This window comes from Homo sapiens, chromosome 7, assembly GCF_000001405.40.
Source record: "Homo sapiens chromosome 7, GRCh38.p14 Primary Assembly".
Lineage (NCBI taxonomy): Eukaryota > Metazoa > Chordata > Mammalia > Primates > Hominidae > Homo > Homo sapiens.
This window is the reverse complement of record NC_000007.14, coordinates 103,765,203-103,781,852: the sequence shown is the minus strand read 5'-3', so window position 1 is coordinate 103,781,852 and position 16,650 is coordinate 103,765,203. Positions and strand designations below refer to the sequence as shown.

The 16,650-nt window shown below is 39.6% G+C and overlaps 1 protein-coding gene across 2 annotated transcripts in view; it reads left to right on the top strand.

Annotated features, from left to right (window-relative positions):
• Positions 1-16,650, top strand: part of RELN (reelin) — a 517,870-nt gene that overhangs the window by 207,806 nt on the left and 293,414 nt on the right. For both annotated transcript variants that reach the window (NM_173054.3, NM_005045.4), the window contains exon 4: positions 5,226-5,296. In NM_173054.3, coding sequence (NP_774959.1) covers positions 5,226-5,296 — 71 coding nt within the window. The remainder of the gene's footprint in view (positions 1-5,225; positions 5,297-16,650) is intronic.

Genomic DNA, 16,650 nt, shown 5'->3' with positions numbered 1-16,650 from the left:
AGCTGTAAATTACATAAAATAACAATTCTGGAAATGAATCAGGCTTGTCACCATGTACCATAACTCTGTATTCTTATTTTAAAATATATTGTGTGTTACAAATTGGAGGACTTGGTGGAATCTAAAAAAGTTGGTCTTATAGAAGTAGAGAGTAGAATGGGGGTTATCAGGGGCTGGGTGGTTTGGGGAGGTAGATGGGGAGATGTTGGTCAAAGATACAAAATTTCAGTTAGACAGGAGGGATAAGTTCAAGATATCTATTGCACAACATGGTGACTATAGTATTGTACTCTTGAAAATGCTAAAAGAGTGGATGTGGATCTCACCACAAAAACGATGACTATAGGAAGTAATGCATATGTTAATTAGCTAGATTTAATACACAGCTTTACATACAATTTTATCTGTCAATGTAATTTTTAAAATTGGAGGACCCAACCTCTAGAGACTTAATTGTGAGTTACTGTGCTTTTAGCAATTTTGGAATATATAATATATATTTATATAGCAGAATATATATATTTCCATAGAAGATTTGAAATAAATGCTGTGATTCTGTGGGTAAACCACCATGAATTATTTGACAGCTCTAAATACATTCAAATAGGCTTGCCATATTGACATTAATCCCACCCTAAGGAGTGCAGTGCGGATGGCTCATGGGATAAAGCAAGGGAGCCTGTGTTATTGCTGGTCACTTGGGCTTCTGCTTTTTCTTTTCCCCAAGATAAGATGCCAATATGCAGACCTTTAGAAATACTAACCATGCGTCTTCTATAGGGTGGGATCATTTTAGATTAAAATGTTATCTGAGGGTTCTAAGGGTTTGGAAAGAAAGTGATGCAAGTGATGTTTATCTGTCAGCACACATGTGTGTATTGGGTATCCACGTATGTTCCAGGGTTTGGGCAGCAGCATGGCTGAGAACGTCATCCAGTAATTTTATGGCAGTAGCATACAGGAAGATGCAAGGGGTCTTCATTGGAAGAAATATGACAAAGAGTTGAAAGGGGACTACAGTAAGCTGATAGAAGTCTAGGGGCTCCATCAATGGTAGACTGGATAAAGAAAATATGATACATATATACCATGGAATACTACGCAGCCATAAAAAAAGAATGAGATCAGGTCCTTCATAGGGATATGGATGGAGCTGGAGGCCATTATCCTTAGCAAACTAACATAGGAACAGAAAACCAAATACCAAATGTTCTCACTGATAAGTGGGAGCTAAATGATAAGAACACATGGACACATAGAGAGGAACAACACACACTGGAGCCTATTGGAGGGTGGAGGGTGGGAGTAGGGAGAAGATCAGGAAAAATAACTAATGTGTACTAGGCTTAGTACCTGGGTGATGAAGTAATCTGTACAACAAACCCCAGTGACACAAGTTTACCTGTGTAACAAACCTGCACATGTACCCCAGAACTTAAAATAAATGTTAAAACATTTTTTTAAAAAAGATTAATTGAAACCTATAAAATGGAAGAAAGTTTAAAATTGGACAAATACTATGTACTAGGTGAAGACTAAATATATGCCAATAAGCATTTAATGTATCTTGTCTTAGATTTTATATTAAATAATAAAAAGTTGAAAAGAAGTCGAGGGGCTCACAGAACACTGTGGGAGAAGGGGTTGAGAGAGAGAAATGGTATTTTCAAAGACAAAGTGCAAGGAGTTGCTGGCCAAGAGGCCAGAGTTCCAACGGAAATGATGAGAAGTTTGTCCAAAAGGAGGTTAACTAAAATGGCTTTAGCCTGAAGGGTTGGAGTAGAGAATACAAGTCAGAGAAGACATTTCTTTAAAGATCAGGCCCTGGGCCGGGTGTGGTCGCTCACACCTGTAATCCCAGCACTTTGGGAGGCTGAGGCAGGCAGATCACGAGGTCAAGAGATCAAGACCATCCTGGCCAACATGGTGAAACCCTGTTACTACTAAAAATACAAAAATTAGCTGGGCATGGCGGCGCAGGCCTGTAGTCCCAGCTACTCAGGAGGCTGAGGCAGGAGAATCGCTTGAACCTGGGAGGTGGTGGTTGCAGCGAGCCAAGATCACGCCACTGCACTCCAGCTTGGCGACAGAGCAAGACTCCATCTCAACAGAAAGAAAGAAGGAAAAAAGAAAATCACTCCCTGAAAGCAGGCTCTTCCTCTGAAAAGAGATTGAAAGCTACCATCATATTTTTGAACCAGGTTAATGAAATATTGCTGTAATGCTTAAAAGCAAAGACTCTACACTCAAACTGCCTGGGTTTGAATCCCAGCTTTGCCACCAGTGGTGTGACATTTGTAAATCATGCAGTAGCTCTGTGTCCGAGGAAAAATGGATAAGAGTATCTACTTTGTAGGGCTGTTAACAGGATTAACTGAGTTAATTTATGTAAAGCCCTACAGCAGTGCCTAGGGGGTAAATTTCAATTCATAATAGTTGTTAGAATAACAGTAAGTATATATACTAGCCACTATTATTATTACTACTACTTCTTTTCCCAAGCAGGGGACTTCAGATAATGTCATTGAGCACATGGTGTGCTGTGCTTCTCAAGCCAGCTTTTAATTACTGAGCCCTTTCTTTAAAGAAAATTAAATAATTAGAACATATAAAGCCTAGACGGTTTGGTTGAATTGGCTGGTGCCTGGAACATTGGCTGTTGCCCCTCCTTCTCTTGACTCTCATGGAGACCCCTAGGGCATCACTGTGGAACACATTTGGAAAACTGCTGATGCAAGGGAAAGAATCCAAGGCCTCGAATCTAAGACCTGAAATCAGATCTTATCTACCATTAATGGGCTGTGTAACCTTCAGTAGGTTAATATCCTGCCTGGCCTCACGTTCCTGATCCATATACTGTAAGAATTAGACCAGTTTAGTGGTTTTCAAACTCTGCTCCCTTAAACCCTAAGAGTTCCAGAGAAGCACGATAGCAAGATTTGGGAAATAGGTAGTGTGGAGCCCCGTAATTTTGAAAAGCTAGGGCTCCTCTCTATTATTCATTGGAATTCCATATTTGTTTGAAGAATGAGTACCACTGCTAAAGTCGTTTTGACCAGATGATCTTAAAGGTTCGTTCAGGTTCAATTACTCTGTCATTATTCTTTAGAAATTTATGAGATTTATTGAACCAAAGTAGCAGAAGTAAGAATATTAATGAAGGCAACAAATAATAAATCTGAGGAAACTGAGTAATGGGGAAAACAGTGTGGACTCCTCACAAGATGCTATAAAGTGACTAGCAGATGTTGGTATATCTGATATTTAGAGAAAAGGTGAAACCTCTGTTACCTGAATCTTATTTTGATAATTTGGCTGATCGTGTTCATGGGAGCATAGGCTGGCACAATGACAAGTAGGCTTGTGGACCAATAAGAAATATTATGATAGGAATATTATATACTTAGAACCAGAAGACAACAAAAACGAACAGTTATTTAAACATTGCCTGTCGTAGGACTTTTCTTGGTGGTTAGTGATTTCAGAAAATGTGTCCCTTCCAAAGCAAATGTCACGTTAAAATTCTACATTGGTGATCACTGTGTTGCTATTGGAAGTGTATGTGAACTCAGACACTCTTGGATTGGTTGGTTTGAACAGTGTATTTAAGTAAAAAAGTTACGGTGTTCCCTCTGGTCATAAAATCTGTACTGATTAGAGAGCCTCTAGGCCATGTTTATGGCTTGGATTGGCCCTATGTTTAGTTCTCCACATTTTCAGCTTTCTGAAAGCAAAGAAAAACCTATAAACTTATGTGAATATTTAAAAAGAATAGTAGCATCTGTTTTTGTGTAATTTTGATAATGATTAATATGCAACAACAAGGGCTGACGCCCCTTATAAGCTTCACATATGGTGTGAGTTGAAGGCCACCCAGTGATTTTTCTCTCCAATTGTATCTCCCTTCCACCATTCAAAACTCTCACTATTGTGCCATTGTGTGTGTGTGTGTGTGTGTGTGTGTGTGTGAAGGTATAACACTTTCACTGCTGAAATATGTTAGCTTGAAGTGATATCACCCATTAACACTTCAACATGGATTAATTTATCAGATTACCTTCAGAGACTTGGGTCCACGGGGACTGACACTAGGGTCTACTTACAATTCAATCAGGATGGAATTCAGAAAGGTCTGCAGAAGGGAGGGGAAAGGTGCATCCACACGTGGGCCAGAGCAAGGAATGTTGGGAGCCAGGAAGCCCTACTGGGCCCAGCAAACAACAAGATGTTGACCGAAGGAAGGGCACGCATATCAAGGGGGAATACATAGGCTAAACTTCGCCCTGTCGTGAGCTAGTACAGTGCCTTGTACATAATCCATCTTCAGCAGATGATAGTTAAATCAAATTATTTTTGCCCTAGGATGGTTTTGGCTAAAACTAAAGTTAAGATTTCATGCTAATTTTTTTGTTATTAAAAAAAGTTTTGTGTATGGCTTATTTTCTAAAATCAAGTTTCTTAGAGACAAGATTTTCTGTTTTAAATTTGTTTAAATAATACATTTTGTGCCAGAAAGATTCTTTTTAAGGGAAAACCCTTCATATATAAAGCATAATTATTCCTTTAATAAGACTTTTTTTATTATAGCCATTGAATAACACATCTGCTGCAAGGATGTTATTTTTTTTCCATCAGTCCTTGTACGCAGCTTTGATTGGAAGAAGTAAAAGATATACATCTCCTTCAAATAGTGAATCTCCTTCATGTGATTTTATTTTGTTATGACAGATTTTATTATGAAAGCTTTGAATAGCCCTCTTTTTAAGAAAATACTTTTTAAAAATGTAATTCTCTGTCTCAACTCTATAAGTTACGGTGACTATTGATTTCAGAAAAAAAGTAACTTAAGAGCCTCTTTCTCCAGTACTAATATCAATATTGCTCCACAAAACATTTTATATCAAAGGCTCCTGAAGAAGAAATTTTAATAAGCCTCCTCTCCATACTTTTTATTCTATAGGCTTTACGCACATCTGCTGTTTTCAGAACAAGCTCACAACTGTTACAGTGTCTTTATATAGTAAAACCAGAAGACAGTCCTCAACCCAGGTGCCTTGGTTTAAGCTTTCATTCCATGTTATTTATATCACTCTTCTGATGTACTCATTAAAAATATCATATCCACACAATAAAGTTTAAGAATAAGCTTTTTAAAAAGTTTTAAACATACATTTTCACCAAACATATTACAAGAGTTGAATTAACCTTTTCCTATTTGTTTCCAGGGCTACAGCAACACACCGGGGCCAGGTTATTTTCAAAGATGCTTTAGCCCAGCAGTTGTGTGAACAAGGAGGTAAGCGTCACATTTGATTTGTTTGTGTTATGTCCAAACTATTCATGGTAGGTCCTGTGTTCTATGTACCAAGTAAGCATTTCATTATGATTACTTAATCGTAAGCTTTAAAAATGTAAGTATTGACCCTTCGTATCACTAATAGTTATTTAGTAATTACTAACAAAGATCTATAGACTTTTGAAGATACTAAGTGTGAGCAAAAGAAAATTTATTTTCATAATTTTTTTCTAATGAATTACCTTTAGTTATTCTGGAAGTACAAATCTTAGTAGTAATTTTTAAATTCTACAAACTGTGTCTGCTTAATTTACCACTTAAATATCCTGTCAGCTTTGTTGAAAATGTTTCTGATTATTGCTTTTAACATTTGATCATATTATACATGATTATGTGTACAGTATCTATGGGCCTGTTTCAACTGTGTGCACTATTAATTTCGGACTTGTGTGGCTAGACATTGTATCAATTTAGATTAAATTTTACATAATGTCAGATATATGTGACCGGGATGCATGCACATGCACACACAAACACAGCACAATGAAAAAGTTAAAACCAGGATCCACGCTCTGATGCTCATTTGTTCCCCCTATCCCTTGAGTTTCCACCCTACTTTGTGTTTCCATTATAGCATTTACCACTTCATAGAGAATTTTTCTCTGAAAAGGGGTGGATGTTGCCCTAGAGAGACTGAGCTTCTCAAGTATGGGGACTATGCCTTAAGGGACTTTGGTTCCCCAGATGCTGACATAGAGCTTACCGTGTAAGTCATTCTAAAAATCTTGATAGATTGAATACAAGTTTGTCTTAGCTGTACATATATTCCTTGATTTCAGCATCTTGATAATGAAAACATTTTATGTCAGTCTTTGTAAATGTCATGCCATTTTCATTGTTTATTGTAAGTATAGTATTAATTTTTGTTTAGAATGACATTTGGGGGGGAATTTGTTAACTTTTAGAATTATATTACTGAATTTAAAGGAAATTTCTATTAATTTTCTCTCTGCTAAAGAATATCTGATGGGCTTTCAAGAGAAATGAGGAAAAATTATATCGGTTTTTGAGATACCTAAGAAAATACCATTTATTATTAGTTATATAGATCACAATATGACTTTATCTAAGTAACGTGATGCTTAATGATTATTAATGGCAAAATCCTGATGATTTACACACATAGTTCTTGAATTATAAAACTTCATTCTAGTTATAGTTTCAAACATATTATCAGTATTCCTGGGTTTAACAGATTTTTATCCTGTGACTTTTGAGAGCACAGATATTAAAATGTGCCTTTGTAGGTAGGCTCAAGAATTTGATCATAATACAAATCTTCTTCCAGACTATGAAACTACTCACATTACTGAAAATATAGAACACCACATAGCAGTGAACATTAATATCCTGGAAAATTTATAGTGTCAGAAAAAGAAATGTCTAATTTTATTAACATTTACCATTGTCTAAAAACTAATTTCTTTTAAGCCTTAAATTTTTTAGTCTTTTCTATTATAACTGAATTATTGGGGTTGGTTTCATTTAAAATGAAAAGAAAAAGCCAAGAAAAACCAATGGGAAAAAATTCTCAACCAGTGAGGAAAAGAAAAATGCCTTCTATAGTAGTATTACACATAAGCATGATTTACACAGTGGTACATGTGGATATTATTAAAAATGCTGTACAGCCCAGGACCAGAAGAAAAACACTGAGCTTTTCAATAGCATCTAACTCATTGAAATTATATCAATCTATCCAAGATAAAGTGAAAAATAATGCTAACAAGAGTGCAAGAGTGATGGCTTTCTACTGTCAGGAAATAATAAGGAAAATAATTTGTGCTATAAACTATATATTTATTCTGGCCTTATCTATTTTTAATTAAAATAGTAATTGTCTCCTCAAATAAAATAACATTTTATCATGTAATCATTTTTTATGTATTGGGTAAGGAATATCTAATATATTTATTAGAGGAAAAACAATTGCAGTCACCATATACCACAGCACAGTGCCTTTCCATTTTAACACGCTCAGTATGTTTGTTGATTTTAATTAAATTAAACAATTCAAGCAAAGCAAACTTTTTTCTGTGGATCCTGAGGATATCTCTTATGACAAGACTGTATTGCTTGCTAAACATATTGAAAAAGTAAAAGGATTAGAAAATGTACTCATTATGTCTTAGAGGGTCTGTAATCTTAATCCCTTTTCTTATAAAACATTCATTGAAAGTATTTTTTTTTTTTTTTTTTTGAGACAAAGTCTTGCTCTGTCACCCAGGCTGGAGTGCAGTGACGTAATCTCGGCTAACCACAACCTCCACCTCCTGGGTTCAAGCGATTCTCCTGCCTCAGCCTCCTGAGTAGCTGGGATTACAGGTGTGTGCCACTGCACCCGGCTAATTTTTTGTATTTTTAGTAGAGACGAGGTTTCACCATGTTGGCCAGGCTAGTCTTGAACTCCTGACCTCAGGTAATCAGCCTGCCTCAACCTCCCAAAGTGCTAGGATTACAGGCATGAGCCACCGCACCCTACCGAAAGTCATTATTCTGCAAAACTTTATACAGCACCTGCAAGACCTCTGTCCTAGCTCACAGTGCTAAATAAGGATATGAAAGTGAAAAGGACCCATTTCCTGTTCTTGAGGAACTCACAGGCTAAGATACAAATGACGGGTCTATGGATCACAGAGGTAGCTAAGTTTGCCTGGAGGTGTTAGGAAAGGCATCCCAGGAAGGTAGACCTGAATGGGTAGTGAGGTTTAAGAGAAAAGGAGAGGAGGCCGCGCGCAGTGGGTCATGCCTGTAATCCCAGCACTTTGGGAGGCTGAGGCAAGCAGATCACTTGAGGTCAGGAGTTTGAGACCAGCCTGGCCAACATGGTGAAACCCTGTCTCTACCAAAAATACAAAAATTAGCTGGGCGTGGTGGTGCGGGCTTGTAATCCCAGCTACTCAGGAGGCTGAGGCAGGAGAATGGCTTGAACCTGGGAGGCGGAGGTTGCAGTGAGCCGAAATTGCACCACTGAACTCCAGCCTGAGCAACAGTGAGACTCTGTCAAAAGAAAGAAAGAGAGAGAGAGAGAGAGAGAGGGAGGGAGCGAGGGAGAGAGAGAGAGAGAGAGGGAGCGAGGGAGAGAGAGAGAGAGACAGGGAGGGAGCGAGGGAGGGAGGGAGGGAGGGAGAGAGAGAGAGGGAGAGAGAGAGAGGAAGCGAGGGAGAGAGAGAGACGGAGGGAGCGAGGGAGGGAGAGAGAGAGGGAGCGAGGGAGAGAGAGAGACAGGGAGAGAGGGAGGGAGGGAGAGAGAGACAGGGAGGGAGCGAGGGAGGGAGGGAGAGAGAGAGAGAGAGAGAAAGAAAGAAAAGAAAGAAGGAAAGAAAGAAAAAGAAAGAAAGAAAGAAAGAAAGAAAGAAAGAAAGAAAGAAAGAAAGAAAGAAAGAAAGAAAGAAAAGAGGAGAACCATCTATCTCCTCCTTCCCATTCTCGCTGATCCACCTCACATCAGGGCCCAGCAGTGCCTCCTTTGGGAACTGCCGAATATCCTCCCTCAGGATTTTTCTGCTCCTATTTTCATGGTGCCTTTACAGAACTGCTATAATGAGCTTTCTAAAATGGAAATATGCTTCTTTCATTTGCCTGCTTAAAACCCTTCACAATCTCAATTGGAAGCAATAGTTTGTCTTCAGAGTGAAATTCCTACTGCTTATCAACATGCAAGGAAAATCCCTTACAATCTGGCTTCAGTTTGCCTCTCCTACCTCGTTTCTTGTCATCCTCTCATTTTTACCTTAAAACTCCCTGAATGCACCTCGCTCTATCATCCTGGTGCTATCTGCACCCTATACTCTCCAAGTTTTCTTTGCCTGGGCTATCCTTTTACATCCTTTTGTTCTGTCTAACTCGGGCTGTCAGACCCTGCTTAGGGTATCACTCCCTCCCTCCAGAGAAAACATCTTTGATTCCCTCCCTCTTCCCCTCAGGCTGGTCTAGACAACCCTCATACATAACTCTCTCTACAGAATTCTCAAGGCACATTAAATAGGAATGCTCTCAACACTGTTATGTGCCAGACACTACTCCAAGCACTCATCTAATCTTCACAACTCATCTAATCTTCACAGCAACCCTCTGAAAAAGAAACCATTATTATCTACACTTTGAAGATGAGGAAACAAAGGCACAGGGAGAGCAACTTACTTGTGCATTCATTCATTCATTCATTCATTCATTCATTCATTTGACAACTATTTATTGCATGTTGTCATAAGAACATCATCACAATGCCTTGTCTGCCATGAGATATATGCTCCTTGAGGGTAAGGGCTGTGCTTTTTACTATGGAATCTCTAAAGCTTCTCACAATATGTGGTGCACAGTATGCACCTCATAAATGTTTGTCAAATGAATAAGCAAACAATTAAACTACAATAGTCTGATAGATAAGAAAGAGGAGGCTAGCCAGTAATTCATTATAGCTAAACCATGAGGCCTGGAAAGGTAAGTGGAGCAGATCGTGCAGGACCTTCTGTTAATGCTCAGGGACTTACGCATTCTGCAGGCGGTGGGAAGGAAGCAGGAGAGTGATAGAACAATTAAAGAAAATCTAATGGGGGTTGGGGGTGGAATGTGTTGCAGGATTATTGACAGATTAAAGGCAGATGATGGACAGGCAGACAAGGGAAGACAGATTATTGTGAAATGAGAAATAAATGCTGGGCAGTTTAAAGTTGAGGCTTTGAAAAAACGTGATCATTATACATTACATGTATTACTGTGATTAGATCTTGGCCAGAAAGAAGGGGATATGTTAGAGAGACCTAGAGAAGGTATGGGGGTGCAGGTGAGAACAGGGAGGAAATCTGGGGCTACTCCGTCACTTTTGGCCTGGGTGACTGGGTGGACATTGATGCCAGGAACAGAGAAGAAATAAAGAAAATGTTAGAGGTGTTTGGAAGAAAAGATAATCAATTGCACTACCACATGTTGGCTCTGAGGGAGTTGCAGAGTTCTCCAGCAGCCTGCTGAGAAGGGGGCCTGTCACTGGCTGGGACAGCCAAGGACATTTGAGAACCATCAGCCTATTGATGCTGCGGAGGCAATGCATTCATTAGGGAGATGGGTGGAGCATGGAGGAAGCAGCCAAGTGAGAAAGACCAGTGACTGGGCAGGAGTGGGAAGAAGAGGGAACTCTGGAGAAGAGGCAAGCCTCTGAGGTGAGGGGAGCTGAGGGAAGAAATCTGAACATGGTAGAGGTGTCCAACAAGGACAAACAGAGAGGATGGTGGATAGAAAAGGACCTTAGGGTTTTACAAGCAGAAGGTGATTGGCAATTTGGGCTGGGCGTGGCGGCTCACACCTGTAATCCCAGCACTTTGGGAGGCCGAGGCGGGCAGATCACCTGAGGTCAGGAGTTTGAGACCAGCCTGGCCAACATAGTGAAACCCCACCTCTACTAAAAATAGAAAAAATTAGCCAGGCATGGTGGCAGGTGCCTGTAGTCCCAGCTACTCCAGAAGCCGAGTACAAGAGAATCGCTTAAACCTGGGAGGCAGAGGTTGCAGTGAGCCTAGATTGTGCCACTACATTCCAGCCTGGGCAACAGAGCAAGACTCCACCTCAAAAAAAAAAAAAAAAAAAGTAAGCGATTGGCAATTTGGCTGAAAATGAGGGTGGTTTTAGGTGAGGCGAGACCACCTGAGGCAGCTTTGTAGCATGGAAAGCTTCATGCTCAATCTTTGGAGTCAGGCAGTCAAGGGAAGACAGATTACTGTGACATGAGAAATAAATCCTGGGCAGTTTAAAATTGAGGCTTTGAAAAAATATCACTATAGATTATATATATTACTGTGGACCCAATAAATATGTACCATTATTATTTGTCCATTAAAAAAAAAAATTTTTAAAAAAAATAAGGAAAGAGGTAGGCACCCAGAGAGGAAAGGATTCTGGATTTTCTCTCCCTCTCTCCAAATCAGAGTGTGTTTATTATAGGCTTCCAGTGCCTTGCAGCCAAACACCGCTAGAACACACCTAGTTGAAGTTGAATAGGTTGAACATGTTGCTTTAGTGCTTGTTGCAGTGTGGGAGAAGGCAAACCATGGGGGAACCATGGGGCATCTCAAGAAGAGGAGGTTACAAAAGGAATTGTTATTGTAAGATTTGGGCTGGGCGGGGCGCGGTGGCTCATGCCTGTAATCCCAACACTTTGGGAGGCCAAGACGGGTGGATCACGAAGTCAGGAGATTGAGACGATCTTGGCTAATACAGTGAAACCCCATCTCTACTAAAAATACAAAAAATTAGCTGGGCGTGATGGCACATGCCTGTAGTCCCAGCTATTCAGGACGCTGAGGCAGGAGAATTGCTTGAACCCAGGAGGTGGGGGTAGCAGTGAGCCGAAATCATGCCATTGCACTCCAGCCTAGGCGATAGAGTGAGACTCTGTCTAAAAATAAATAAATAAATAAATAAATAAAGTAAAAAAGATTTGTGCTGTATTTGGTGACTGGGGTAGGGTTTAAGAAAGTGGAGCTTTGCTCTGGATTCGATGCTGTCTGGAAGTGGGGACAATTCTGTGGGTAGGTATCTCAATAAATCTACCATGAGGGCAGACTAGAGCAAGGCTACTGCTGTAATTGATAAAGAAACAGCAGTCGCTCCTAAGAGCCAGGAAAGAGGGTGCTTGGCACATTGTGATTTCGAGAGTGCTAAAGTTGTGTCTGTGTTGAGACAACATGATTAAGAAATAGATGTGTTTCTATCTTGATTCATCACGGTCACAGAGTAGCCTTGTCTGAAGTTGATGTTCTGTGAAATTGTTTATGTTCAATAGGAGGACACCAAGGCCCAGAAGGGATTGCCAGGCCAGGTTCTGGATGTCAGAGGCTACTTTTTTCTTAAATGAGACTGAGGAGAGAATGCTAGTGGGCATGATTTACTTTTGGATTTTAGGCTTCACGAGGGCTTTGAAATCATACAGAAGTGGATTGTCTTATTTGTGCTGCCATAACAGAGTGCCACAGACTCGGTAATTGATAAGGAACAGAAATTTATTTTCTCACAGTTCCGAAGGCTGGGAAGTTCAAAATCAAGGTGCTGGCAGGTTTGGTTGTCTGGTGAAGGCTGCTTTAAGCTTCTAAGAAGGTGCCTTTGATGATGTATCCTCCTAAGAGGAGGAATGCTGTATCCTCACGTGGTGGAAGGCAAAGGGGCAAGCCAGCTGAGTGTGAAACCTCCTTAATAAGGACCTTAATCCCATTCACAGGGGGAGCAACCCTTATGACCTAATCACTGCTTAAAGGCCCCACCTCTTACTACTGTCACTCTGGCAACACCTGAATTTTGGAGGGGACACATTCAAATCACAGCATGGATTCAGGCTTTACTTGTGTGACCTTACTTTCCAGAGTCCCTGGCCCAAAGCACAGGTTCAGTACATCATAAAGGGAAGGGATTTTGCTGAAGCAAAATTTTATTCAAGGTCAGTTGGTGTGAAATAAAAAGCAGAAGTAGATCAGTGGGGTAAAATTGTGAATGTTTAATTTTTTAAAAATGTATCTCTGTTTTGTAATTTGTTTACAGTGAACTTACATTATTTGTATTGTAAAGAGATAGCACACATTTCCTCCAAAAAGTGTATATAGGGGGTTAGACTTAGGAAGGAGAAGGGACGAGTCTGCTGTGGCAAGGAGAATAAATCCCTTCTCAAGAATCGAAGGAAAATTTTGAATTACAACTCCTATGTCTCCTCCTATATGGTGACTTGCCTGACTCCCTTAACATGCTCTGTCTCTGTTGTGTCATGATTATTTAAACACTCATTTCCCCCAACTGAGCGCTTTTTGAAGGCAGGAACCATGATTTAACTTTTTGGTTTTTTTAACATTTAATCATGTTTGGCATGCAACATAGACTCAGTAAATGTTTGCTGAATGATCAACTTAAACATTTTACAATTGAAAAATCACTGTCCTTACTGAAAAATCTTTAACCCTGAATGTTTGCTATGGACCATGATGAGGCAGTGTGGCTGCTACTAGCAATGTTCCTCACACTGATTTCTGGTTGTAAAATACATGTACCAGCATATTACAAATTTTTGAAAATTGTGCATGGATTTTCATGTAAACTGTAAGGAGTCCCCTTAATGTTCTTGGAACATAGACCAGATTCAGAGATTTTTTTTTTTAATATCTCTGAGGTTCCAAGTAATTGTAAACACATGCCCATCTGCATTCTGCTGTCGTGTCATGGTGTAGACAAGGAGCTAGAGTTTTTCCATCTTTAGTCTGGGGTGCGGGGTTGGCTGGGCTGTATACCCTCAATTATTTTGAGAGTAAAAGATGCTTAGGTTCATTCACTAGCTGTAAAACAAAAAGAACTGAAATTATTCAATATTTAGTACTAAACAAAAATTACTTAATGCTTACCGTGTGCCAGGCTCTGTTCTAGGCTAGGTCTTGGAATATGCCAATAAACAGAGCAAAGATCCCTGCTGCCATGAAGTCTACATTGCAGTGAAGAGGAGACAGACAGTAAACATGAGGCATCAGAAATGACTAAACGTGGTACCATGTTAGAAGGTGGCAAGTGTTGTAGGGGGAAATAGACCACTAAAATATAGCAGGGAAAGAGCATACAGCTGGATGGAGGGGGGAAGAGGCTGATTGCAATTTTAAATAGGGTGGCAGGTAAGTCGAGTAGACCTCACTGAGAAGGTGACATTAGAGCAAAGACCAAGAAGGGGATAAAGGAGTTAGCCCAGTGACTATCTGGGAAATTGTCCAAAATGTCAGTAAGTGATTTTAAAGATAAACATTGTGGTGTTTTTTGAAGTATTGTTAGAGATGACCAAAACAAAGAATAGACAAAATATCAGAATAGACTAAAAACTTGAAAGGAACTAGGAGAAATCAGTTTTTTTTGCAGCAATTATTACTGAACAACCTAAAAAGAGCTGCAGACCTAATACATCTGTCTCTGAACCACATGAGTCCTATTGAAAATGTTAATATGAGTGTGGTATAGATAGACTTAGGATGAGGACTAGTATTTGAATTCATGCTATGATCATGTAACTATAGGTTCCTTATCTGTGGATTAGTGATGAAGCCAAGCAAGCTAACTTGGCAAAATCTACAGTACTCACGAGTGGCAGGCCTAGAATTCAAAGCTCTGGACTCACAGCCCAATGCTGGTTCCATTATACCAAGTAGATTCTTAAAGTTAAAAAAAGATCAAACATTAAAAACCCTCAGGAACCACAGCCCTAGTAAACAAGATTATCACTACTGCCTAAATTCCCTGAAAACCTTGGAAAGAACACATATACTCTTTGGTGCCCTAAATCTACACAGTTAAGGCAAAAGTGATGTGAGTGCATCAGCATGGCTGCCAGTGGTCCAGCAGTATGCACACATCACAGTTGAAGATGGAGCAGGGAAAATAATCATGTGTGTGTGTATATTCATTGGCCTGTGGGCTTCTTGGCATACCCTCTTCAAACACACACATTGATTATTTAGCAAGACCAGATGGCAGGCTTAGTGGCCTGACAGCAGTCATGCCCTATAGTGCCCCCAAAGCCCAAAGGGCACGTGCCATTTATAAACCACCCTGGAATTCTCTGTTGTTGTGTTGATGGAAGCGGCTATAACTAAAGGCAAACGTTTTATGTCAGGAGGAAAGAGGTCAGGCTTACAGCTGGCGCAGAAAACCTTGGCTGCTTTCTGCCAGGCTCAGCAGTTTTTCAGCTGTTCATCACCCTCAGAACAGTGAGTGGTAGAAACTGTGGCTGTGCTCTCTAAGGGCCCTTGGATCGTGGTGGTAGGCAGCATATATGCTTCATCCCAAATGCAAACTCTTTGCAATTTTTAAATCATTTGTATTAAGGATTGGTGAAAGTTGAAACTGTGAGATGGAGAGGGGCAGAAGAGTTTAACAAGAAGTCCAGAATGTGAATGGGGTGTTTAACCTCCTTTTATATTTTTTAGCACTTTAAGTGTAACTTTATACCCAACTATTGTAAAAATTGTAGATCAGATCTACCAAAATCTTCTCTTGGCTATCCTTGATTATTCAACAGCTTATATTACTAAATATCTTTCCAATACCCTGAAATGCAAAGTCTTTATTAATTCAGACTTGTTTCTCTCTCATTGTCAGAATTGGGTTTTAACGTATCTACTTTAATTGTTGAAAAGAAAAATAAATACTGATGTATTTCACTTGAATGTGCCCAGTGTTAAGCATTTGCTAGTCAAAGACATCTGTGCTCCCCTTGGCTATTTTGTAACTTATATTTTATTTTAGTGGTTACAGCTCCTGTTCATGACATCCCTAGGCTTTGTGATTTTTATAAACAAAGACAACTGAATTAAGAGGCTCAGGGAAAACCATCCAGGAACCCCCGATCTTGCTTCACGGTCTTACAAACTACCCAACAAAGCGACACACTAAAGCCCTCCTGGGGCTATGGCAGGCAGAAAGTATCCTTAAGTGATCTGAAGACAAGCAGATTAAGGGGAATGACAAAGAGCTGATTCACATGACCATAGTAAAATTTCTTGCTACTGACTCTGGAGGTGGGTCTGATTATTCTTTTAATTTCCTAAAGAATGGTGTTTTGGACTGGTGCTGTTTATCCCAAGATGATTGAACATAGATTTAAACAGCCTTCTTTTTCAGTGCTGAGGGCTATATACATTCCCACTTGACAGCTTTATCTAGTCCAAAGTCAAAATTCCTAGATTTATGCCCAAGAAGGATTTTACATTGAGTTATTTTGGGTGCCTATGGAAGAATTCTTTCTACACATGCTGCTATATAACCTGCTTGATTCCTCCATATTTTGAAGGACAAAGACCAAGTTTGGATCTATACAATCACTTGGGGAAGGAGGGCAAAGCTGTTACAAACATACATAATTCACAATTTTGTTTGACTTGTGAAATATTATTTCATCCAGTTTATTAATCCAACATTATTTTTAATGTACGTGTGAAAATTCAGTTGTTTCATGTAACAATTAATATAGATTTTTTATAATCAAGTTTTTAAGAGTTGTAATTCATTGGTATTAATTAATATATATTGTGCTGTATCCCCAGTGGGCATATGTGAAACACTGCACCAGACCCCAGGCAAGGTGTGTGGCAACATAAGGCAGTCTCCCATCCCATTGTTAAGAAGCTTATAGTACAGGTTTACTAATGCAAACCCAGAAGAGAAGGACCAAGACACATTTGCAGAAAAATGTAAACTTAGTGGAATGGTGTTCCTCTCATCTCCTCTGAGCCCTTGCTCCAATTGTGCTTTCTCTTTCTGATAGCTTCAATGTCTTCCGCTTC